At 48.6% G+C, this 23,934-nt stretch overlaps 1 protein-coding gene across 7 annotated transcripts in view, besides 2 other annotated features; it reads left to right on the top strand.

Annotated features, from left to right (window-relative positions):
• Nucleotides 1-23,934, top strand: part of PCSK6 (proprotein convertase subtilisin/kexin type 6) — a 185,775-nt gene that overhangs the window by 84,913 nt on the left and 76,928 nt on the right. For 5 of the 7 annotated variants that reach the window (NM_138319.4, NM_002570.5, NM_138323.3 and 2 more), the window contains exons 7-11: nucleotides 6,219-6,391; nucleotides 11,371-11,583; nucleotides 15,231-15,331; nucleotides 20,370-20,473; nucleotides 22,586-22,703. In NM_138319.4, coding sequence (NP_612192.1) covers nucleotides 6,219-6,391; nucleotides 11,371-11,583; nucleotides 15,231-15,331; nucleotides 20,370-20,473; nucleotides 22,586-22,703 — 709 coding nt within the window. Of the gene's footprint in view, nucleotides 1-6,218; nucleotides 6,392-11,370; nucleotides 11,584-15,230; nucleotides 15,332-20,369; nucleotides 21,072-22,585; nucleotides 22,704-23,934 lie in introns of those variants that run through there. The other 2 variants (NM_138322.4, NM_001291309.2) reach the window with 2 other exon arrangements.
• Nucleotides 17,436-17,935: an enhancer, noted in NCBI's record as "H3K27ac hESC enhancer chr15:101927065-101927564 (GRCh37/hg19 assembly coordinates)". NCBI's record gives its function as "activates a minimal SCP1, AML or CMV promoter by ChIP-STARR-seq in primed H9 embryonic stem cells {active_cell/tissue: H9 hESC(primed)}" and the evidence as "EXISTENCE:reporter gene assay evidence [ECO:0000049][PMID:30033119]".
• Nucleotides 17,936-18,437: an enhancer, noted in NCBI's record as "H3K27ac hESC enhancer chr15:101926563-101927064 (GRCh37/hg19 assembly coordinates)". NCBI's record gives its function as "activates a minimal SCP1, AML or CMV promoter by ChIP-STARR-seq in primed H9 embryonic stem cells {active_cell/tissue: H9 hESC(primed)}" and the evidence as "EXISTENCE:reporter gene assay evidence [ECO:0000049][PMID:30033119]".

Here is a 23,934-nt window from a genome sequence, read left to right as displayed (position 1 = left end):
CCCTGGAGATCCATGGCTGAAAGTAAGGGCAAAGAGAACCCTGCTGCCATTTATCCAGCAGTTCCGGGGCCAGGGCCTCAACTTAGCTTTTCGTTAATCTTCTTAACTGCCCCGGTAGATAAAAATTGTAAGAAACATGATTTAGAGAGGTTGAGACCATGGCCCAAGGTCATGTGGAAGCGAGATTACACCCCAGGACTCTCTGACCCCACTCTCTTCCCCTACCGTGAGCTGCTCTGTATCTTGCCGGCGGCCACGATCTTGCCAGCCTCTTGCACTGGGCCTGGCCCTGACCCTTCTCTTGGAGGTTCCTGGCTGAGAGAGCTGGACACTTGGGCCCAGTGTCCCTGACACAGCCATGGAGATGGGATGGCAGGCACATGGACCACAGATTTGGGAAAGACCCCACTTCATGTCCACCCGACCCCTCCTCTCCACCCAGAAAGGACAAAATACAGTGAGCTGATGCCACAGCCCATGTGAGCTGGGCCTAGAGGTGGCTCTGCCCTGCCTATAAAAGGGGGAAAGGAACTTACAATAGATGCCAGCAAACCCAGAAACCCAGAGAAGGTTGGCCCCTGTTACGACTCCTTTGATCTTCACAGGGAGGTGAGCTCTTGCTCTATTAAAATTAAGAACCTCTGTTTGTCTAGAGCTACCATAAACACAGTGAGAAGACCAGGCATACACTGGGAGAAGATTTTTATAACCTGCATTACCAACAAAGGATTAATTCTCAGTACAAGCAAAATTAAACAATGTATCACTTAAGCATATATACAATTGTATTAAACTAGTAGTATTTAAAAAGCAATGGCCTGCGAGGTGGGCGGATCACCTGAAGTCAGGAGTTCAAGACCAGCCTGGCCAACGTGGTGAAACCCCGTTTCTACTAAAAAGCACAAAAATTAGCCGTGTGTGGTGGCGGGCGCCTGTAATCCCAGCTACTTGGTTGGCTGAGGCAGGAGAATCACTTGAACCCGGGAGGCGGAGGTTGCAGTGAGCCGAAATGGCGCCACTGTCCTCCAACCTGGGCAACAGAGCGAGACGCCATCTCAAAATAAATAAATAAATAAATAAATAAAGGCAATGGCATGAATAATCCAAAAATTCTGATCATTTTCCTCTGAGAAGCTGGGGGTGACAGGGAGGACACAGAAGTAGAGGCCCCCAGTGGGTCACGTTCTTGTTCTTGCATTGGGCTGCAGGGTTCATGGGTATCCGTTTTTTTATTAGGCTTTATAACTAACGTGTATGTGACATACAATCTTTTGTGCTTATCAAGTCATGTGTTTTTAGAAAACAAAAAGAAAAACCAATCAGTTATTGTTACTACCTCCATTTTTTTTTCTCTCTCTTTTTTTTTAATTATTATTATACTTTAAGTTTTAGGGTACATGTGCACAATGTGCAGGTTAGTTACATATGTGTACATGTGCCATGCTGGTGTGCTGCACCCATTAACTGGTCATTTAGCATTAGGTATATCTCCTAATGCTATCCCTCCCCCCTCCCCCCACCCCACAACAGTCCCCAGAGTGTGATGTTCCCCTTCCTGTGTCCATGTGTTCTCATTGTTCAATTCCCACCTATGAGTGAGAACATGCGGTGTTTGGTTTTTTGTCCTTGCGATAGTTTACTGAGAATGATGATTTCCAGTTTCATCCATGTCCCTACAAAGGACATGAACTCATCATTTTTTATGGCTGCATAGTATTCCATGGCGTATATGTGCCACACTTTCTTAATCCAGTCTATCATTGTTGGACATTTGGGTTGGTTCCAAGTCTTTGCTATTGTGAATAGTGCCACAATAAACATATGTGTGCGTGTGTCTTTATAGCAGCATGATTTATAGTCCTTTGGGTATATACCCAGTAATGGGATGGCTGGGTCAAATGGTATTTCTAGTTCTAGATCCCTGAGGAATCGCCACACTGTCTTCCACAATGGTTGAACTAGTTTACAGTCCCACCAACAGTGTAAAAGTGTTCCTATTTCTCCACATCCTCTCCAGCACCTGTTGTTTCCTGACTTTTTAATGATTGCCATTCTAACTGGTGTGAGATGATATCTCATTGTGGTTTTGTTTTGGATTTCTCTGATGACCAGTGATGATGAGCATTTTTTCATGTGTCTTTTGGCTGCATAAATGTCTTCTTTTGAGAAGTGTCTGTTCATATCCTTTGCCCACTTTTTGATGGGGTTGTTTGTTTCTTTCTTGTAAATTTGTTTGAGTTCATTGTAGATTCTGGATACTAGCCCTTTGTCAGATGAGTAGGTTGCGAAAATTTTCTCCCGTTTTGTAGGTTGCCTGTTCACTCTGATGGTAGTTTCTTTTGCTGTGCAGAAGCTCTTTAGTTTAATTAGATCCCATTTGTCAATTTTGTCTTTTGGTGCCATTGCTTTTGGTGTTTTAGACATGAAGTCCTTGCCCATGCCTATGTCCTGAATGGTAATGCCTAGGTTTTCTTCTAGGGTTTTTCTGGTTTTAGGTCTAACGTTTAAGTCTTTAATCCATCTTGAATTAACTTTTGTATAAGGTCTAAGGAAGGGATCCAGTTTCAGCTTTCTACATATGGCTAGCCAGTTTTCCCAGCACCATTTATTAAATAGGGAATCCTTTCCCCATTGCTTGTTTTTCTCAGGTTTGTCAAAGATCAGATAGTTGTAGATATGTGGCATTATTTCTGAGGGCTCTGTTCTGTTCCATTGATCTATATCTCTGTTTTGGTACCAGTACCATGCTGTTTTGGTTACTGTAGCCTTGTCGTATAGTTTGAAGTCAGGTAGCGTGATGCCTCCAGCTTTGTTCTTTTGGCTTAGGATTGACTTGGCAATGTGGGCTCTTTTTTGGTTCCATATGAACTTTAAAGTAGTTTTTTCCAATTCTGTGAAGAAAGTCATTGGTAGCTTGATGGGGATGGCATTGAATCTATAAATTACCTTGGGCAGTATGGCCATTTTCACAATATTGATACTACCTCCATTTTTACAGATGGGAAAACTGAGGCTCAGTGGGGTCAAACTAGCAGCAAACACACACGTTGAATGCTTACTGTGTGCCAGACCCTTTACACGGATCATCCGATTTCATTTGTTTGACATCCCTCTACATATGATAAGTGTCATCATTGCAGTGTGCAGAAGACTGAGGCTCAGCGAGACGGGAGAACTTCAGAGTCACTACCTGGTCACAGTTGATGGTGAAGGCAAGGTCTTCACCTGTGGCATGCCCCACGTCCCTCCTGCTGGCTCCGAGGCTCACTGTGAGTGACAGCTCCACTCTGTGGACCTCCCCTTGGGAGCAGGCGTCGAGGCATCTAAGTCCACTTGCCTTGTGCCATCTCAGTGCCTGGACACTGGTGGCTACCCTGGGCCGTCCTGCAGCCAGCTCGCTGAGGTAGGAAAGAGAGGAAGGGAAACAGGTGGAGTGAGAAGAGAAGATAGATAACACTGAAGTTACATTTATTCCTACTGCTCATAGTAGGCTTTCAAGCTATGAAGAGATGGCTCTTCCCGTGACTTCAGCCCCATCCTCCATCGCTGCCCACGCCCACGTGGCTGACACTGCCGAATGTCTCTAGCACTGTTGTTGAACTTCTGATGTCTCCTATGCCTCAACCTTGCTATTGCCTTGGTGTAAATTTCTCTGACATTGATTTTGAATACAATTCCAGGCTTTTGGAGCAGAAGTTTCCAGTTAAGCTTGGTGTCCCACCTAAGTGTTAAGGTCAACATGCCGAGCCCTAGAGTGGTCCTCCCTCTCCCACCACCAACTATCCTACCTGGCCTCCCAAGAACTGCCTTTGGTGACTCTTGTATTCTCTGTCTTGCTTCATGCCTGGGAAATTTCAGGGCATATATTAAGGGGAAAACCTTAGGGAAACCTGAACCTTCAAAACTGGGTAGAATGAATGGATGGAATGGAAGAATTTACTGCAGCGAAATCATCTTCAAATTCCTTTTAGGTTGGAAGCTTCTTACCCTGGCAAGTGAAGAAGTACATTTGGTTATATGTTTATAATCCATGTGCTACTGGGTGAAAGATGATAGGACAAGAACATTTGAAATGTATGTGTTAGGGATCTCTGCCCAGCAGTTTCCATCAAAAGAGCACACCCATGATTATCGTACAAATGGATGGGACAGCAGGATTCTACTCACGTAAAATGTTTGTCCCTGAGCACCTAGGGAGGGTGTCACCTCCAGGGTCTCCTTCCTGTTGCTCTTCTGCATGAGTCCTGCACCACCTCTTTTAACCTCAGGGAAAACTTCACTATTTTGTTTTTTAAAGTCAGTCATATTTAAAGTTGCTGCTTTTGAGTATGCACTACGTGTTGATGTAGATTCTGGAATGTAGAACAAACAGGCGCAGACTAGTATGGGTAAGGTGGGGAACCCCTACTTCAGAAGGTGAACCCCAGAAGGAAGCTGCCTGGGCCAGGGGTGTGTGCATGATGGCAGGGAGCTGCAGCCACTAAGCCTTGGAAGAGTCTTTAATGGCACAGGGAAATGCCCTGTATAAAGCTCAGTGGGGGAAAAAAAGGATTTAGAAAGAAAGTATATGCCAGAGGCAAAGAAAAAGACTAGAAGAAAATAACCAGCCAGGTGCAGTGGTGTGCACCTGTGATCCTAGCTACTCGGGAGGCTGAGGTGGGATGATTGCTTGAGCCCAGGTGTTTGAGGCTGCAGTGAGCTATGATCTGTGTCACTGCATTCCAGCCTGGGTGACAGAGTGAGACCCCATCTGTAAAGCAAAAAAAGAAAAGAAAATAGCCAAAATATTATTGGTTATTTCTCTTTTTCCCAAAGTTTGGGCAAGAGCATATACTATTCTTACAATCAGAAGAAGTCCTCTTTTCCATTACGTCTTAAATAGCTCTAAGATTTAGAATTCGTCTTGATGAAGGCATGGTCATCGCACACACAGAGCTGGGCCCCGTGGGTGAGGGGCTCCCGGGGGCCTCTGAGTGGGGAGCTGTGGGTGTCAAGTGGCCATGAAGAGAGTTGACCCAGGGTCGGGTGGCAAGATTCTCTGAGCCCCAGAGAAGTCGACTTTCTGTATCTACTAGAATCCAGGAAGAGTGTGTCCATGGCCGTCATTACCCCCTGCTTCCCCGTTTCATGCCAGGTTTTTCTCAGATGCCTTCTCTGGGGGAGGCACTGTTGCTGGGGCAACTTTCTGGCTGCAGAGGGCACCCAGTAATAAAGGCAAATGCCAAGTATGAGGCAAGAAGGGACGCCCCTGGCTGGGATGGCAGGCATTGGGAGAGGCTTATGGGAGCCCCTCACCCCTCTCTTTTTGGGGTGCTCTCGAGGAAGCTGGACTCTCCACCTCTAAAGACCCCTCCAGGGAACATAGAACCCAAACCCAAATGGAGATGAGCTGGCCAGCGAAGTCCAAGACCCCAGTCCCCTCCATTGCAACCTGGGGTGCGGGCTTCTGTCTTCCAGGTTGAAAGCTCATCATTTGGTTCATCATAAGTTATACGTCGGAGTGGAATTATAAAGGAGAGAGAAACAGATGTGAACTCTCAACAGCTGGGAGAGGTGGAAAGCCTCTGGAGTTCCATTATAGAAATGTGCCTTTTGGCCAGGAGTGGTGGCTCACGCCTGTAAGCCCAGCACTTTGGGAGGCTGAGGCAGGTGGATCACTTGAGGTCAGGAGTTCGAGACCAGCCTGGCCAACATGGCCAAACCCTGTCTCTATTAAAAATAAAAGTTAGCCAGGCATGGTGGTATGTGCCTGTAGTCCCAGCTACTCGGGAGGCTGAGGCAGGAGAATCACTTGAACCCGGGAGGTGGAGCTTGCAGTGAGCCGAGATTGCACCACTGCCCTCCAGCCTGGGTGACAGAGTGAGACTCTGTCTCAAAATAATAATAATAAATAATAATAATAATAATAATAGGTCTTGTTTTTTAAAATAAAAAACAGAAATATGCATTTTTAGATACCAGCAGGACATCATAGCACTGAGGGAAGCTGAACCCTCTCTTTGGGACGTAGCTTGCTTTCTTTTGTTGCCCTGGCCTGAGTTCTTTCACATCAGCCAGCATGGAGAAGAGGAGCCAGTTTTGCAGAATGACTGGGAACAGCCCCTGCTGGGGAGGGACTCTGTGATGCGGTGTCCTCATCCGAGCCTCCTGGGCCCGGGTTCCCGTCGCTGTGTGCCCGGAGCCTGGGCGCCGACACCGAGCCTCCTCTGTGCTTTCAGGCATCCGCATGCTGGACGGCGATGTCACAGATGTGGTCGAGGCAAAGTCGCTGGGCATCAGACCCAACTACATCGACATTTACAGTGCCAGCTGGGGGCCGGACGACGACGGCAAGACGGTGGACGGGCCCGGCCGACTGGCTAAGCAGGCTTTCGAGTATGGCATTAAAAAGGTGTGAGTAACCAGGGCTACAGGGGAGCGCTCTGGGACAAGGGTGACAGTAAACATTTTAACAAGTATCAGAGTGACACTGGCCACAGCCCTGAAACAAGACAGGGAAGACTCTGCTGTGACAGGTGCCAGGGCCAGTGTGGAGGAGTCACTCGGGGAGTCTGAGAAGTGGCTCTTGACCGGCGAGAGCAGAAGTGTTTTTGCCTCGTTCCAGAACAGCTGTTCCAGTGACAGCCAGGTGGCCACTGCTAGCACGACCCTCTCTGCCTTGGAGTTTGCCCATCCCTGGCTGAAGGGGGTACACAGGTGGGTGACGGGGGTCTAAGGCAGCTCACCTGGCCTGTTACTTGGACTCTGCAGGGGCCTCGGCCCACCTGCCCTTAGAAACACCCAGCTGTGGAACTCTGTGCATTCATCGCGGGGTATGTGCTCACCCAGGCCCCGCTGCAGCAGGAAGCAGTGGTCGGGGTGTCCCCCACCAGCGCACAGCCCAGCCCACTTTGAACTTCTCCAGGGGAACCTCACAAGGGGCTAAGCAGGGCAAAGATGCTTCTCTGCCGATGGGCCAAGGGGAGGCTGGCAGGCTCCTGCGAGGCCACCCGCCAGCCACTCTGTGGTCTTTGGTTCCGGATCCTTGTGTGTCAGGAAGGCTGAGGAAGGGGGAGGAGGTGGCTGCAGATGAGCCAGTTCTTACAAACAGGGTGGCAAGGCAGATTTCTGGGTGAGGACAGCTTCTTGGAGCAGGCAGACAGAGCTGTGGTCAGCGTCCAGGAGGCCCTGGGTGGCCGAACAGGTCCCAGCCCAACGTACAATGTGTGGTCAGTGACTGCTGTAGGGAGTGGGGACCAGGGGAGTTCCAGCAGGAAGTCCAGGCTTCTCTGACTCCTCCTGTGGGGGATGGGAGAATGGGAGGGGGTGGCAGGAGTCAAGCCCATTAAATTTATATCGTTTAAAATATTTTTACAGTTCTCATCGTATTATAACCCATGCATAGTGATTGCAGTGTGGCTCATAAACAGCTAGTAAGTCAGTCGGATAGTAGGAAGAGATTATACTGCAAACAGCCTCTCTCTGTCTCTGTCTGCCCACCCCCGAGTCCTGCCCCACGGAGGAGGAATCTGTTTTCAAACCATGTTCATGATTTCCTTTCTCTAAGTAATATCATTTGATGGCTTTCCTGGGTGCGTTGAGTTTGGTCACCATCTGTTAATTTCCTCTTATCAGAATGAGCGTTTTTCTCTCAGGAGACCCCTAGCCCTGCTGCCCTGCCGAAACCCTGGAGTTTCCTCCACTTCTTACCTTTCCCGGGCGTCAGGCCTACACTGCATCCTCTGCCTCCTGCCAGCTGCACCTGCCTGCACCTCCTCCGAAGGACTTGGTGTCACTCTGCAAGTGTGAGGCGGAAGCTTCCTCCTCTACTGCCCCCACCCCCCAACCACTCAGGTCTTGAATGCCTGAGAAACCAATGACCAAATACAGGGTATCTACCCACCTGTCCCTCCGAGTTTAGTACTCACCCAGACACTAAATGTGAGAAGGAAAATTAAGGAAGAGGGGCGGTGTAGACACACACACGCACGCACACAGCATGGGGTCTTGCGGGCATCCTTGGGACACTGGACAGCTTCCTTTATCTCCATTCCCCCAAGAAAACACCGAGGCAGCTTCAATGAGGCTGCTGAGCACCTAAGCCAGGCCCAAGGCTGGGCTGAGTGAGTGCTGGCACACTCGGGTATGACCAAGTCAGCTGCTGCCCACCAAGAACTGCCGAATACATAAATCACCCTTCCATTACTTAGCTCCCAGCTCCAACCCACTAGATCGCTTGGATCTCAGTCTTGATGACAAGCGAGACATCCTAAAAATTAAGCTGAATTTAAGCTTCGGAGAGGGTGGGTAAGCTGGAGGGCGGGTTTCCTGCATAGAACATATTGCTTTGGATGGTGTTCCTGCTGAGCGTCTGTCATTTCTACGGGATGATTTCCAAAGATGGAGCTCCTAGGATGAGGCACCCTCCGTCCAGGAGGGGTCCTGGTTGTTTGGCAGTGATCGTTCGGGCTCTCTGGTTCACTGAGCCTATGGGAGGCTTGGGGAGGTTGGAGCTGCAGAGAGGGATCTTTGCATTCGGAATTCTGAGCAGTGTTGGTTTCATCCAGCTGTCAGGGGAGTGGGGAAGTTGCAGAGGGGACCACGTGGTTTCCCCTCATTCTTGTCACAGTTTTGTGAAATACTGAGGTCATTTGATTTTTTTTCGTCATTTGGAAGTAAAATATGTCATACAGAGAACCTTAAATCGCAACTGTCTCGATCTGTCACTGAAAATCCTCCTAGAAATTTGATGATCTCAAACCAAACCACATTCCCCCATCTGCTTTTCCTCCTTGTGGCCCTATTTGTCGCCTACAGTCTTCTGTAAAATCTGACTTTATCTTTGGTAGATGATGTGGCCCGGCGGTGAGAGACTGTAGAAGCTGTAACTTGGCACAAAGATCTGTTTAACGTTGGTCCTTAGGAAGCCTGGCTCCTCTCACACCTAGTTATTCAGAAGGGACCATTAGACATTGCTGTGGCTAAAGACACTGGCCGCGTCCAGGTGGCCGGTGTTTGCTGGCCCTCAGTCGCGGTGCTTCTGAGCTCATGAAATGAACTCTCCCTCCCCAGGGAAGACATCGAAATACGATTTGATTGGGTTGAAGTTGTGAGTTTACTGAAAAGAAGTGCAAGTTCATGGCTAGGGTTGAAATGTCCCCTACAGCTTCTGTCCCATGGCTTCCATGAAGCCACTGGAAGATCTGGGAAGTGAAAATAAAGTCGTCAGAGACAGTTAAAACATCTCTACACTCCTCAGACCTGGCTGTTTCCTCGCCTCATTTCCATGTCTCCTTCCCAGAAACCGTTTTAAGGAGGGGAAAGGTTGTTGGTACCTTGATGCCTATGAGGATGGGTTGGTCTCATAGTAAATGCATGCTACATGCTGTAAATGCAAACCTTGAGCATTTCAGGCTCTTGGTATTCAAAGTGGGGTCCAGAGCCAGCAGCACTGGCGTCCCCTGGGAGCTCATTAGGGATGCACACTCTCAGGCCCACCCTGGACTTTGGGGCACAAGTCTGCATTGTAACAGGTTCCCAGGTGACTCCAGGGTGTGCACATTCAAGTTTGGGGAGCACTGTTTTTGGCCATTCTCTGCTCCTGGAGCAGTAAGGTTGCATGCTCCACCTTGCAAAAGGACAACATTTTATAAGTCATTTCAAGTGGGGTGGGGAGTTAGGAGTGGCAGTGTCTAGGACTAATTCTCACCTGGAATAAGGACAGGCTCTGATGGGTTAAATACCTTTTGATTTGCATTGTAGTTGCTTTAAACCGGCTTCAGCTGAATCTCTTCCTGCAGGTAATCACGTGCACACACACACCACCTTCCTGAGCTCTTTGTGCCTTTCTCTCAGAAGGTTAGCTTTTCTGGGAGGGACCTTTCTGTTGAGCTCTTGGCCACCCCGACAGGTTCACCTTGCAGATGCAGAAAGCAGAGTGGACGCGGCAGCCTTAAGCAGCGGGGCTGCGTGAGCTCCAAGAACTTTCCTGTGGGCTTTCTTGGGAGCCTCAAGTTGGAGCTGGAGTCTCCTTGGTTTACAAACCCCCGTGGTGTGAGCGTACAGAGCAGGCGGGTCCACTCATTGTGCTCCAAAAGTGAGTGTGACATGTTTGGTCAGCAGCAGGCTTCAATTTGGCTCTACGGGGATTGCAGAATTGGTGTGTAAGTTATCTTTAAATTGGCCGATTGTTGAGCATAAGTATAAATTTCCTCTGTTTGTTTGGGAAGGACGGTCCTTAGTAAGGATGTGATGGCCAGCCAGTGGCTCCAGTTTCCCGTGGAGGTGGATGCTGGCCCTTCTCTCGGGCCAGCTGTGCACCACCAGCCCATCCAGCCATCTGGACTATATCCGTCAGTTCAGTCTTCCACTCGCTAATCTTTAGCTGGTACTTGTGGCTGGAATGATTCTCAGTGTGGTCAGAAATCATCCATCCTGTGGGTATGGGATAGAGCGGAGCTGCAGGAATCTGCCCTGACTGGCTGCTGTCTTTCAAAGACTTGCTTTCATGTGTACGTTCTTAACAATGAACACCGGTGCACAGCTGGGCATGGCGGCACACTTCTATAGGCACAGCTACTCTGAAGGCTAAGGCAGGAGGATCACCTGAGCCCGGGAGTTCCAGACCAGCCTGGGTAACGTAGCAAGACCCCTGTCTCAAAAAAAAAAAAACAAAAAACAAAAAAACGGAAAGAAAACCTACACACAAATGAGGCCCTGGCCTTGGCTAGTGATATAAATCAGACCACCCTGATACTTACCCACTGCAGAGACCACAGGGAGCTCTGACAGGACACCCACAAGCTGCTACCAGCTTCCTGGACGTAACCCTTTCCACCTATTCTGTCTTCACGCAGAGTTCATGGTCCTATCCCTCTTTGCAAATTTAGCTCTCTCTGCAAGAAGGGTACCTCTTCAAGTATGTTTTCCAGAAAAATCATTCTTTTCCCCACCAGACCAGCTCTTTCAACCCAGAAAAATTAAAGTTGTAAATTCTTCCATCATCTGTAATCTCAGTGTCATTTGCAGCACTGCTAGCTCTCTTTGATCCTAGGCCATTGCGATGGAAATGACAGGCATGGCTCTGGAATAGAGCAGCTTGTGTTGGGACCCTTGATTTTCCTGTGAAGAACAGAGGAGTCTTTCTGGCCCCTTCCCCTCGTATGATCCTGTGATTCTGCAATTTTAAGGCTGCTGCTACAGGCAAAGGCACACCATTAAAATCCAAACAGAGCCCCCAAAACCATGCTCTCAGCAGCATCCAGATGGTCTGAATGCAACCTTCTTATCCCTTTGAAGGAACATTTGGGAGATGGGACTCTAGGTTCGGGGGGAGACCCACCCTACGAGGTTCTGCTGCGGGGCTAAGCCTTGTTCCTCTTGTCCCTCCAGGGCCGGCAGGGCCTGGGCTCCATTTTCGTCTGGGCATCTGGGAATGGCGGGAGAGAGGGGGACTACTGCTCGTGCGATGGCTACACCAACAGCATCTACACCATCTCCGTCAGCAGCGCCACCGAGAATGGCTACAAGCCCTGGTACCTGGAAGAGTGTGCCTCCACCCTGGCCACCACCTACAGCAGTGGGGCCTTTTATGAGCGAAAAATCGTAAGTTCTCTTGGCAAGTTGGAGTGCTTACAGTGAGTGCCTCAGCCCTCTGGGAATGAGTTTCTTCTCCCTTTCTCAGAAAGATGGCTTAGATTGAGGCCAGATTGTTCCGGATCCCAGGGTCCCAGCCTCACCCATCGGCGAACAATTTGAGCCTGGAGGTAAACCCCAGTCCCTTGGCAGCCTTCCTCGGACACTGGCTTTCTAATCTTTGCACAGAAATAGCAGTTAAACCCCTCTCTGGCTTTAGAGATCTAAAAATATTATTTAAGAACGAGGTTCCTTCTCATGATGTCTTGTTTTAACTCTGAAATTCTGTGGTCACATGTCTTGGAATCCAATGAACCCATCCAGTTCCAGCGTGTACAACAGAGTAAGAGAAAGACTTGGTTTTATACTGAGACATTCTAGAAATCCAGGAGTTCTTCTAGGCATTCTGTTGCTACAGAAGCACTTTTTCTGGACACTTTAAGTCGAGCAGTGGTTTCTGTCTGTTCCGCTTACTTAAGTGAACATAAGCATGATTTGTCTTTTAAAAGGTAACTGTTTTAGTACTCAGGTAGAATTTGTGCTTTTTCCTTCCCTACATACTTTCCTACTTAAAAAAAAAAAAAAAAAGAGGAAGGGAGGGTTTCCAGTTCAAATTAATGCAGAATTGAAGTGCAAAGTCATTACGTTGACTTGTAGACATTTTAAAAATGAGACTGTGGAGCTGGCCAGACATGGTTAAATTTTAAAGCTCACTAGCATCTTTTCATTTCTGCGGCTGCTCAGCCACATCTTTCGAAGTTATTTGCAAATTTATTTTTACACTTTTCTGTGGGAGCATACAGGCTTCCTGTTCTCGGCTTTGCTCCGCACCAGTGAAAGGTCAGCTGCCATCGTTCTGTCGCCAGCCTGGTAGCAGCTCGGCCTGGTTAACTAAGGTATTAATTTGTTATTTTCCTTTTCTGCTGGAGTACGCACCCCTGGGACGGGCAGCTGAGATGCTGAATGGTGTCCTGTTTATGTAGAAATCCAGCTCATTTGAGCACGGACCTGCTAGGGTCTTATTAGACAGACAGTTGGCCAAAACCCAACATAGTCTTGCTGGCCGAATGGATGCAGGTTCGAATTTGCTAAGTTATGGGACAGTTTATAACATGGACTGCGTGCAGGCAGGATGGTGTCTCTCAACCCTGGAAGTAGGACTTGCAGCTTTATTTGCATTACGAATCACGTCAGCGTGTGATCTGTATGCCATGCATGTGTGCGTGCCTTGGCTATAAAATGCTTTTTCTTTCTTATTTTAAAATTCTCTTCCCTGAGCAATAATATGTGGGTAAGAAGGGTATAGTTTGGAGAACGGTAAAAGAGAAAATATACTTTGTCTTGGTCACTGCCCGGGAAGTCTGCTCTGACAGGAGGGGTGTTATTTTCAGCTCTACTAGAGTCCAGCTTTTGTTCTGAGTCCTCTTAGACGTCCTCCAGGGAGACGAGTGCTGCTCAGGATAGTCGACATATCACAGTCCCAGCATTCAGGCAGGCCTGTGATGGCGATCACAACCCTGTCCGCCTGCATTCTCTGTCCCTCTGAGTCTGAGGAATGTGAGCAGGTGTGTCCACCTGGAGCGAGGGATGTCCTGTGGTGACACATGACTCTTTATAGAGGAGTAAAACCTAAAGAAAGCATCTCTCACCAGAACAAGAGGGTATGTTCGTTCACTGAACACGAGCTGTGTCCCAGGCGTGGCACTAGGACTCAGGAGGGGCTGTCCACCTTGATTCAGCCATCCCTCCCAGGGTAGGCCCCTCTGCTCGCTCCCCAGGACCCCCTTCTCTGAAGCTGGAGAACCAGCTGTGAGCCTCACATGCTCTTGGGAGCGTGGCCTCCTGCCCAGCCACCCCTAGTTTCTCCTCCTGGCCACCATTTACCAAGCCCAAGTACATTCAGGTGCCTGGCTGTGATCTGCCGAGAACCCCTGAAATCTATATCATGGTGTCCATTTGCATATGAAGATGCTGGAGTCAGAGAGGGAGCATTTTTGTCCCTTTTCCCATGCCCTCAGCTGCCCTCCCCATGTTGAGGTACCCCAGCCCCACTGAAACGAACAAGGAGGAAACTGGTCTCTGTTGGCCTTCCCGTCACATCTTCCTGTGTGTGACACAGACCAGACCCCCACCTTCCCTAGACAGTTGGCCCAGCTCAAACGTGTGCAAGGAAGGTGCTGAGTTCGGAAGAGGATCTGGATTGCTCTCACTGTGAAATTGATTCTCAAAGGTTAGGCAAATCGGCTACTGGAGTCCTGTGGTGGGTGGGTGGGTGTGACTTTCCTATTCCTGCCATAACAAATTATCACAAACTTAGCAGCTTAAAACAGCACAAATTGATATCTCATGGTCCTGTAGGCCAGAAGTCCAGGAGCCTCAGCCGAGTCTCTGCTTTGAGTCTCACGAGGCCAAGACCAAGGTGCTGGCAGGGCCGTGGTTCCTTCCGGAGGCTCCCGGGAGAATCTGTTTCCTTGCCCACTCGGGCTGTTGGCAAAACTCAGGTCCCTGTGGTTCTGGGACTGAGTTTCCCATTTCCTTGTGGGCTGTCAGCTGGGGCCCGTTCTCAGCCTTTGGAGGCCACCCACATTCATTGGCTTACTCCTCAGCTCCCTCTTCAATGCCAGCAGCGGTGGGTCCAGTCCTTCTAATGCTTCCTCTCTCAAACAGCCTTGCTGCCTTCCTCTTCCAAGGTGGAGGGCCCTGTGGTGGCAGCAGGTCTACTCAGATAATCCAGGATAATCTTCCTGGTTTAAGGTCGGCTGGCTACCAACCTTAACTCTATCTGCAAAGCTCATTGGAATAACACCAGGGGACAAAGATGATGGGGCGACAATCCCACCTAGCACACCTGAACCCACACAGGCTGAACCCCCAGCACCCACTTCCCGTTTGAGTCCAACGGGAGATACACGTCAGCCTGAGTGGTAGTGAGGTCCAGAATCCATCCCACACCCAGCCTGGGCCAGTGCCTCCGAGGAGGGCAGGCAGAGCCCCCAGCTAGCGGTACCTGCCTTGTTGCCCTGTGCAGTAGGCCTTGGGCGGTCAAGAACATGCCAGGTTGATCTGCTTCTTCAGGAGGACGTCCTGGTGGAGAACCCAGCTTATGACCTACTGGCTAAAGGCAGAAACTCTCTCTGAGCCACCTGGGTATCTCTAGCTGCTCTGAAGTCAGGGGGTGACTTAGGGGTAGCTAGTGTGGACTCTGATGGTTTTGCCGTGGGTACTCTCGGCTGTTGGTGACAGGCCACAAAGTCCGGCAGACCCAGGGATGAGGGCTTGTGGGGTGCGTCTTGGTTTCATGTTGTTTTACCATTTTTTCCACATGCGCTTCTGCAGTAGAGAGGGAACCAGCTGATCTATTATTATCAAAGCGTACGGTCTGTGCTCCCAGCTGGCCTTCTTGCCCCTGCCTGTCTTCCTACAAAGTGATTTAGCAGGGAGCACCAGATGTTGTGGAAACCTGTGGTTGCCGAGATGCATTTGCCTAACACCTTATTTGTTCCCGAGACCCAGGGTCACGCTTGCCAGTTAGTGGCACCTGAAGTAGCCCAGCCTTCTCCACAGAGTGAGTTAGCCTGTCTGCCATCACTGCCTCACTGTGCTTCTCTCTCCCCCAGGTCACCACGGATCTGCGTCAGCGCTGTACCGATGGCCACACTGGGACCTCAGTCTCTGCCCCCATGGTGGCGGGCATCATCGCCTTGGCTCTAGAAGCAAAGTAAGTTCCCACTTACCTTTTTCTAAAAAAAAAAAATGTTTAGATTGTGGTAAAATACACATGACATTGGCCATTTTCACCCTATTGAAGTGGACAGCTCAGCGGCATTAAGCACATTCAGTGAGTCGTGCACCTGCACCACCATCCCTCTCCCAGAGCTTCGTCTTCTTCCCAGGCTGGAACCCTCTGCCCGTTAAACAGCAGCTGCCCAGGTTAGTCAGCTCAGGCTGCCGTAACAGAGTCCCACGGACTGGGCAGCTCAAACAACAGAAATTTAGTTTCTCAAAGTTCTGGAGCCTGGAATTCCTGGATCAAGGTGTCAGCAGGGTTGGTGTCTTCTTGGCTTGCAGAAAGCTGACTTCTCCCCTTCTGCTGTGTCCTCTTTTTATAAGGACACTGGTCATATTGGATTAGGGCCCACCCTAATAATCTCATTTTATGTTAATTACCTTTTTAAAGGCCTTATCTCCAAATATAATCATATTCTGAGGTACTGGGGCCTAAGACTTCGATGAATACATTTTGGAGGGGACATAGTTCAGCCTATAACACTCCCCATTGACCCCCCGCCCTAGCCTCTGGCAACCACCATTCTACTTTCTGTCTCTATGAATTTCATTGCTTTAGGTGCCTCATGTAAGTGGAATCACACAGGATTTGTCCTTTTGTGCCTGGCTTATTTCACTTCACATAACGTCTTTAAGGTTCACCCGTTTGTAGAACGTATCAAAATTTCCTTCCTTTTTTTAGGCCATCCTGATGGGCGTGAAGTGGTTTCTTCCTTTCTTAAAGCCCAAGTCTCCTGCCCTTTGTAGGACACAGGGGCTGGCTGGGCCAGAGTCCAAGGCCTGCCTCTGATTCTGCACCTCACAGCAAATCCACACTTTAGGTTGCGCTGGCTTCCTTTTAGGAACTTTCATTTATAAATTAACAGTCAAGAAATCTCTTGAGTTGCGTATGTGTTGTTGGTTCAGAAAGAAAAGCAAGTTAACCGCACATGGAGTCATAGAGTCAAAACCAAATTGTACTTTAGTCACCAAAACTGGCAGAGAACAAACCAGCCCTCTGCAGTAGTCATCTGTTGTAGATGAGTTTTCAAATAACTCAAAAAGAATGGTTGGGATGCCTCAATGCTTGTAATTACGTGTGTTTGCATGTGGATTTGCACAAGACAAACTGAGCGTAACACTCAAATGCTACCAATGTAACAAAGGAACAGTTTGATATTTTTGATTTCCAGGCCAAAATGTTAGCTTCTGTGTCCTGAGGCTCTTTTTAAAAATTCTTCATAATGAGTTGCTTGTGTGGAAACTCACATTCGCATACTTTACCCTTCCTTGCGCTGTATTTTCCTCCATTCCTTATTGGAAACATGCAAAGAGCTAAATGGAAAACAAACCCTGCTCCGGGGCGCATTGTCCCCTTAAACTTGGTCAGTGGGCATGTGAAAGCTCAGACGGTCATCTTCCTCATCATGTTAGCTCCTCCTCAGACACATACAGGGGACGGATCAGGCAAACATCATTTGGAACAATGTCAGTCTAGAGCGCTCGACACTTACAGGATTGGTCAAGGAAGGAACGGTTGATGTCTGGGAATTTGAAAACCTGTGTTGAGCAGACCTGTAGCCTGGGATAGCTCTCGCCTGTGCAGGTTGGCCCCAGGCCGCCTTCTCTCTCTGTTCACTACTGCTGTGGAAGGAACTGGGGCAAAGCCAGATGGTTCTGGGTGGAGATGCTCCCTGAGAGTCTGGGGAGGGCCCCCAGACAGCGTGGGGCCAGAATGAAGGAAAACCCATACGTGTTGGAATTCTCTAAAGGGAGTCCCATGGTTTTGGGACAGTCTTGGTACTTTTCAAACATCCGTTCTTCATCAAAAAACATTTTCAACATCCTCTCTTAGACATATTTTCCATGCGGTTATATTTGTGATTTTATTGCTAGAGTCAAAAATAAAATAGATTTTTTCATAAGAAAATGGTTCCTAACTTTCTCACTCCCTGGACCCATTCTGTCCTCCACTCCAAAGGTCATCCCGGCACCTAAATTCAAGATTTCCAGGAGGACTGGCTGTAGCCGTCTTCGAGTACGCCCTGCTGACACACAGCAGTAACTTGCCAGGTTGCACGGGCAGCATGGGGTGTGGCCATGTCAGCACTTGTCTAAACTCCAAAGCCTGCACCTGTGACCTCTCTACCAGGGTGCACGGCCATGGGCTACTCGAGGCCTCAGAATCTCCCCTAACAGTGAGGTTGGCGTGTGGGCCGCAGGAAGGCCAGTGGATGCAGGAGGAGAACAGGTGTGCCTGGCAGGGAAAGTCCTGGAGACTGAGCCACTGGACACGGACGGGGAGAGACGGTGAGGAAGCCAGTGACCAGCCAGGAGCAGCAAGAACACATTGGAGAAGTCAGGGGAGGCCAGGGCTGGAGCCTGGAGAGTGTGAGCCCAGGGAAGGAGTATACCCAAGACTTAACGCCATGGGTGAGCTTCTCGTAGGAAAACAGGCAAAGAGGGGGCCGAGGGTGGGAGTGTGCAGAGCAGCCGCCATACAAAACAGTGTAGCGCGTCCTTGAAAAAATTAAACAGACTCCCCAGACGATCAGCAATCCCACTTGTGGGTGATATCCAGGATTGAAAGCAGGGACTCGGGTAGATACCGGCCCAGCCATGTTCATGGCAGCATGGTTCACAACAGCTGAACGGCGGGAGCAACCCGAGTGTCCATGATGGACGAAGAGATCAGCGAAGTGTGCTCTGTACACACGTGGAACATTCAGCCTTGAAAGGAAGGAGATTCGGATACAGATTATGATGAGGTCCCTCAAGGACGTTGTGCTAAGGGAAATAAGACAAATCCTGTGTGGTTCCACTTACACGAAGACCTGGAGCCATCAAACTCATAGAGACAGAAAGTAGCGTGGTGCCTGCCAGGGGCTGCAGAAGGAGCGATGGGGACTGAGTGTCCCGTGGGACAGAGTTTCAGTCTGGAGGTGGTGAAAAGTTCTGGAGGTGGGTGTGGCGGTACCAGAGCAATGTGAACGTCCTTAATGCTACTGAGCTGTACCTTTACAAATGGTTGAAATGGGAAAGTTTGTGTTCTGTACGTCTTCGCACACCCACACACAGAGTGGGCCACTGGAGAGACGCCTGTGACATCCCAGCAGGTGCCACTGGGGAGGCCGGGGCAGCTGGGTACTTCAGCTCTCTCTCTTCTGCGTCTCCAGGCCCCCTCAGCTGCAGCAGCTCCCCCGATTTTACTTAGTCCGTGTTCCTAGGGTCACATTCCCTGAGGCAGCACCTGTGGCGCGGCGTGCGTTCCTAGTAAACACGCACCGAGAGCACGGTGTGCGTTCCTAGTAAACGTGCACCGAGACAAGGCTGGGGCTTGTGCTTCTGGTCACCTGCATCCCAACGAGCCCTGGGAAGATGGTCTGGAAGGAAAGAGTATGTGTTTGTGATATTAGGGAGTGAGAGTCTTGGACTCGAGAGATGTTCGTTTATTCTTGGTTAATTTTCTGATTGAATAGAAAGTCCTAGGTAGGCATCAATTTAACCGACTAAAAAAGGAATAAAAGATCTATAAATATTTATCTGTCAAATGGCGGCCGGAACCATGAGCCCATACATCTTTCTTTTCACTCAGCTGTTTGATAGGGCAAAAATATATTCCTTTCATTACTGATTCACATGTAGGTGTTATCTTTACCATGTTTTAAAGCAGCCTTGCAGAAAGCTTGTATGTTCAAATATCCAGGTTGCATAGCATTTAATACTGATTAGAAGAAAGGAACAATGCTCTTATTTTATACTATTCTCTGTGTACAGATAGTATGAAAAATACTATATTTCATCGAATCCAAGATGCCATAAAGTTGTAAGATGCACCTTTTTATGTACCACAGAAACCAGAAGTGCTGCCATTATACAATGCATCCATATCTCTTAGAATTTTTGTAACTATTGAAGAGTTCTTTTAGGCTGAGAGTTATTTAGACCTGGAAATGACACTGTGAATAGACAGGACCAAGTTCAGCACCTCCAGGCAATGTAACCCGTTCCTGGTTGCTGTGGGCAGAGGGGCTTATAAGAGGTATCAGATCATAAGATGGATCTGGATTTCAGAGGTGTTAAAAAAAAGAAAAAGGTGGGCCAGGTGTGGTGGCTCACACCTGTAATCCTAACACTTTGGGAAGCCAATGCAGGAGGATTGCTTGAACCCAGGAATTCAAGACCAGCCTGGGCAATATAGCAAGACCTCGTCTCTACAAAAAATGTAAAAAATTAGCCGGGTGTGGTGGTGCACACCTGTAGTCTTAGCCACTTGGGAGGCTGAGGTAGGAAGACTGCTTGAGCCCAGGAGGTCGGGGTTGCAGTGAGCCAAGATCACACCACCGCACTCCAGCCTGGGCAACAGGGCGAGACCCTGTCTTACACACAAAAAGCAGGGGTGAGCAAATGTGTCTTAGAAATTTTAAAAAATCATCTGTGTATTTAGTTACATTAGTGGCATGTTGTATTCTTTTGATGAAATGTTTCTACTTCCCCAAAAAGAATATTTTGCAAATTTAGAATCATATATAAAATCTTGAATTATAATCTACAGCCAGTGGGTCCACACAGGATGGAATCTCGGCCAATCGTGGTTTGAATGTACTCTTATGCACTGTTGTATTTGCTTAGGATGAAGAATAACCCCAAGTATTTAATAAACATTTACTATTATGTTAAGTGTCTTGTATTTTCAGAATTTCCCATATGGCTCTGGGCAAACTCAGGCAGAGCTTGGCAGCAAGGCTAGGCTTTAATGCTTATGAATTTTGGGTCACCCATTGAACCTTTTTTTCCCTCAGGATTTAGTTGCCGGAAACTTGTTTACAAAGAGGTGGTGAAATAAACCCTTGCCAAGGAATGCAGTCCTTAGCCTGAGGGGCTTGCTGAAGTTCAGACGTGGGTTGGCTGCCGACCCCCTGCCTCTGAGTGGCCTGTGTGGCTGCCGTTGTTGAGCTGTGTGGACTCTAGGGTGTGTTGTGTCATTGCAGCAGCCAGTTAACCTGGAGGGACGTCCAGCACCTGCTAGTGAAGACATCCCGGCCGGCCCACCTGAAAGCGAGCGACTGGAAAGTGAACGGCGCGGGTCATAAAGGTGCGGCAGTGGCGTTCTGGTGGACCATTGGGTGGCCCTGGAATGTGTAGGAAGGGGTGTCATGAATTCCTTAAAAGGACTCTCCAAATAGCATTAGTTGTTATTATTAATTGTGTGTCACAAGAATTTAAAACGCATGTGCAGCTATTTAAGAAAAGTATCCCGGAAGCTCACAGTGACATTACGGAAGAACCCTCAGGTCACAAGAGTCTGGGGTCTCCTATACTCTATAACTTTGGCCACACCGAGACACCACCTATACCAATATTTACTCATAGTTCTCTTTAAGCCAGGAGCAATGACGTGTGCCTATAGTCGCAGCTACTAGGGAAGTTGAGGCAGGAGGATTGCTTGAGCCCAGGAATTTGAGTCTAGCCTGGACAACACAGCAGGACTCCATCTCTTAAAAAAAAAATTACTTCCCCCACTACTTTTTTTTGACATAAAAAAATGTATTTTAAAAGGAAACTGTACTACATCTAGTTAATCATAGGTTTGATATGTAGTTACGTATTTTTTCTAATGTGCATTAAAACAAATCCATAATTATTAAAATAAATGTTGTTTGTGTGCCACCTGAGGGCAGCTTGCATCCTTAGCCCTGAGTAGCTCTGTGATTTTGAAACTTGCCTTCAGTTTCCTCATCTGTACAATGAGGACATTGAGATAGTTTTGTAAGTTACTTTCTAACTGTAAAACTTCTTTTGGCCAGTCCCTGTGTTATAAAAGTAAATCATAGGACAGTGGGGCCTCTACCCTCAGCCCAGCCTGGTACAGACCTAGGTACCATGAAATCAACCCAGGGTCAGGGCTTCGTTAGGCTGGCTGTTGGCGGCCTTTGAAGCAGGTAATTTTAGGACAGTGCTACTGGCTTTGTTTGCCTGACTTCTTTTTTTTTTTTTTTTTTTTTTTGAGACAGAGTCTCGTCTTGTTGCCCAAGCTGGAGTGCAATGGCACGATCTCGGCTCACTGCAACCTTTGCCTCCTGCGTTCAAACGATTTTCCTTCAAATAATCCCTCCCGAGTAGCTGGGATTACAGGTGCCTGCTACCACGCCCAGCTAATTTTTGTATTTTTAGTGGAGACGGGGTTTCACCGTGTTGCCCAGGCTGGTCTCGAACTCCTGACCTTGTGATCCACCTGCCTTGGCCTCCCAAAGTGCTGGGATTACAGGTGTGAGCCACTGTGCCCGACCTGTTTGCCTGACTTCTTATCAGGTATACTGAAAAATATTTCATTTGGCCGTAGTATTTATGTTAGGGAGGAATTTTTTTTTAACCTTTTCTGAAGCTCAGGTCTAACTAATTTGACACTAAGTCTGATACTACTATCTGTAAAATATAGGTCAAGCATAGTTACCCTAAGTGCCGAGGGACATTCCTTTTAATAAGGAGGCCATCGATTGGGCTAGTTCATCTTTGTTTTGCAGGAATGTCGGTGGTAGTGGTGTACTGTAACAAGAGCTGACCCACATTTTAATTCTGGCCTAATTAAATAGGAGAATAGATTGTATGCAGTTCTTGACCTTGCCTCTTAAATTAAACTTTGAAAGTCTCCTGCCCTGGCCAAATTAAATACTGGACCGGGCCAGTTCGCAAGCCTGTCTCTGTGCTGTGCTGTTTTCCCGGAATGCTCTGGGAACTCAGCAGGGAAAGAAAATGGCAAAAAAGATGAGTACAGCCTTGTGTTATTGCATTTCGGGCACGTGGTAATTGTGTGAACTGAGAGGTCTCAGATTTTGTTTCTCTTGTCTGGTCTTAGATTCAGGGAGCATAGATGCTGACAAGCCCTTTTAATGTAAAGGAACCTGTCTTTGTCTCAAAAAAAGAAACTCCTAGACCTTCTCAGCACTTCTACTCTGTACCAAAGCGGGACGTGTTTCCTGACCCACACTCCTAAATTTAGCAGAAGGAGTTGGGTTCAGAGAGAGTGAGGCAGCTGGGACCTTTGAGCAGCCCTCAGGGGGACCCGTCCTGCAGCCTGGGGCCCCCAGGAGACCTCGAGTCTTACGGTCCCTCTGTCCTCCATGGGGCCCGGCAGATGCAAGAGCCAGCCTTGCTCCCTTCCTGGGAGAGGCAGGAGAGCCTGGCTCTGAAGGGCCTGTCTTTTCAGTTAGCCATTTCTATGGATTTGGTTTGGTGGACGCAGAAGCTCTCGTTGTGGAGGCAAAGAAGTGGACAGCAGTGCCATCGCAGCACATGTGTGTGGCCGCCTCGGACAAGAGACCCAGGTAAGGCTCTGCTGTGGCATCGGTGACTTCTCAGGCACGTGGGTTTGGAGCTGACTCTGTTGTAAGGTGTGGCTGGGGGAGGTGTTCACACATGCATTCTGTGCACATGTGCGTGTGCACGATGCATGCCTGCACACGTCTGCGTTTTCTCTTGTGGATTGTACAGCTGGGAAAGGAATCACTTCTTAAGCCACCACTGTTTTGAGGCCTCTTCCCCTTTTGTAGCAGATTGCTCCACGATAGGGGATCAGTTCCTCAGCCTGAACCACTCAGCCTAGTATTGGAAATTCTTACCCGTGTTTAGCATGTCAGCCCAAGTCAGGAATCTGCTCCTCCCAGAAAGTGAAATGGGGAGTAGCTGCAGGTGTCCTTTCTGTCACCACCGGCTAGAGATTGGAGCTGTAGCCCCAGCCCAGCCTAACTGGCCCTGGGAGTCTGCAGTGTGAATCCACCAGGCCTGAGCAGGAGCAGCTGGGTCAGCCTCTTCTCTGTTGCAGGTTGTGGGGTACTGCTTATTATTCACAGAGCATAGCAGCTTTGTGTGGCTTTTATCTGGCTCCGTACAACCTTCTTAAGGCTTAAGCGCTGGGATTTTTTTAACAAGGCTCGAGCAGAAGGGCCCTGGCTTCATCTCTCTCCCGTGAGCAGGGCACACCCGGAACTGCTCTTTGGAGTAAGTGTTTCTAAATCTGTTATATTTGTTCATTGATTGATTGATTGATTGATTGAGACCGAGTTTTGCTCTTGTTGCCCAGGCTGGAGTGCAGTGGCATGATCCCGGCTCACTGCAACCTCTGCCTCCTGAGTTCAAGCCATCTTCCTGCCTCAGCCTCCCGAGTAGCTGGGATTATAGGCACCCACCACCATGCCCAGCTAGTTTTTTTGTATTTTTAGTAGAGATGGGGTTTCACCATCTTGGCCAGGCTGGTCTCAAACTCTTGACCTCAGGTGATCCACCCGCCTTGGCCTCCCAAAGTGCTTGGATTACAGATGTGAGCTACCGTGCCTGGCCAAAATTTTTATTTAAAAAAAAAAAAGCAGCCATAAAGTAAATCAGAAAGCAAGAACCCTAGCCCACTAGGAGAGGAAATCAGATTATTCCAATTCTGCCATCGCAGCTGTTTTTAAGGAGAACGGTGTTTCTCTGGGCCTTGTATCTGATACAGAACGGAGTGTGTTTTTCCCATAACTACTTGTTCCCTTTGGAAAACGTGTTTGAAAAAGAAACAGT

The sequence above is a fragment of the Homo sapiens genome, chromosome 15, assembly GCF_000001405.40.
Source record: "Homo sapiens chromosome 15, GRCh38.p14 Primary Assembly".
Taxonomy (NCBI): Eukaryota; Metazoa; Chordata; class Mammalia; order Primates; family Hominidae; genus Homo; species Homo sapiens.
This window is presented reverse-complemented; position numbering and strand designations above follow the sequence as displayed.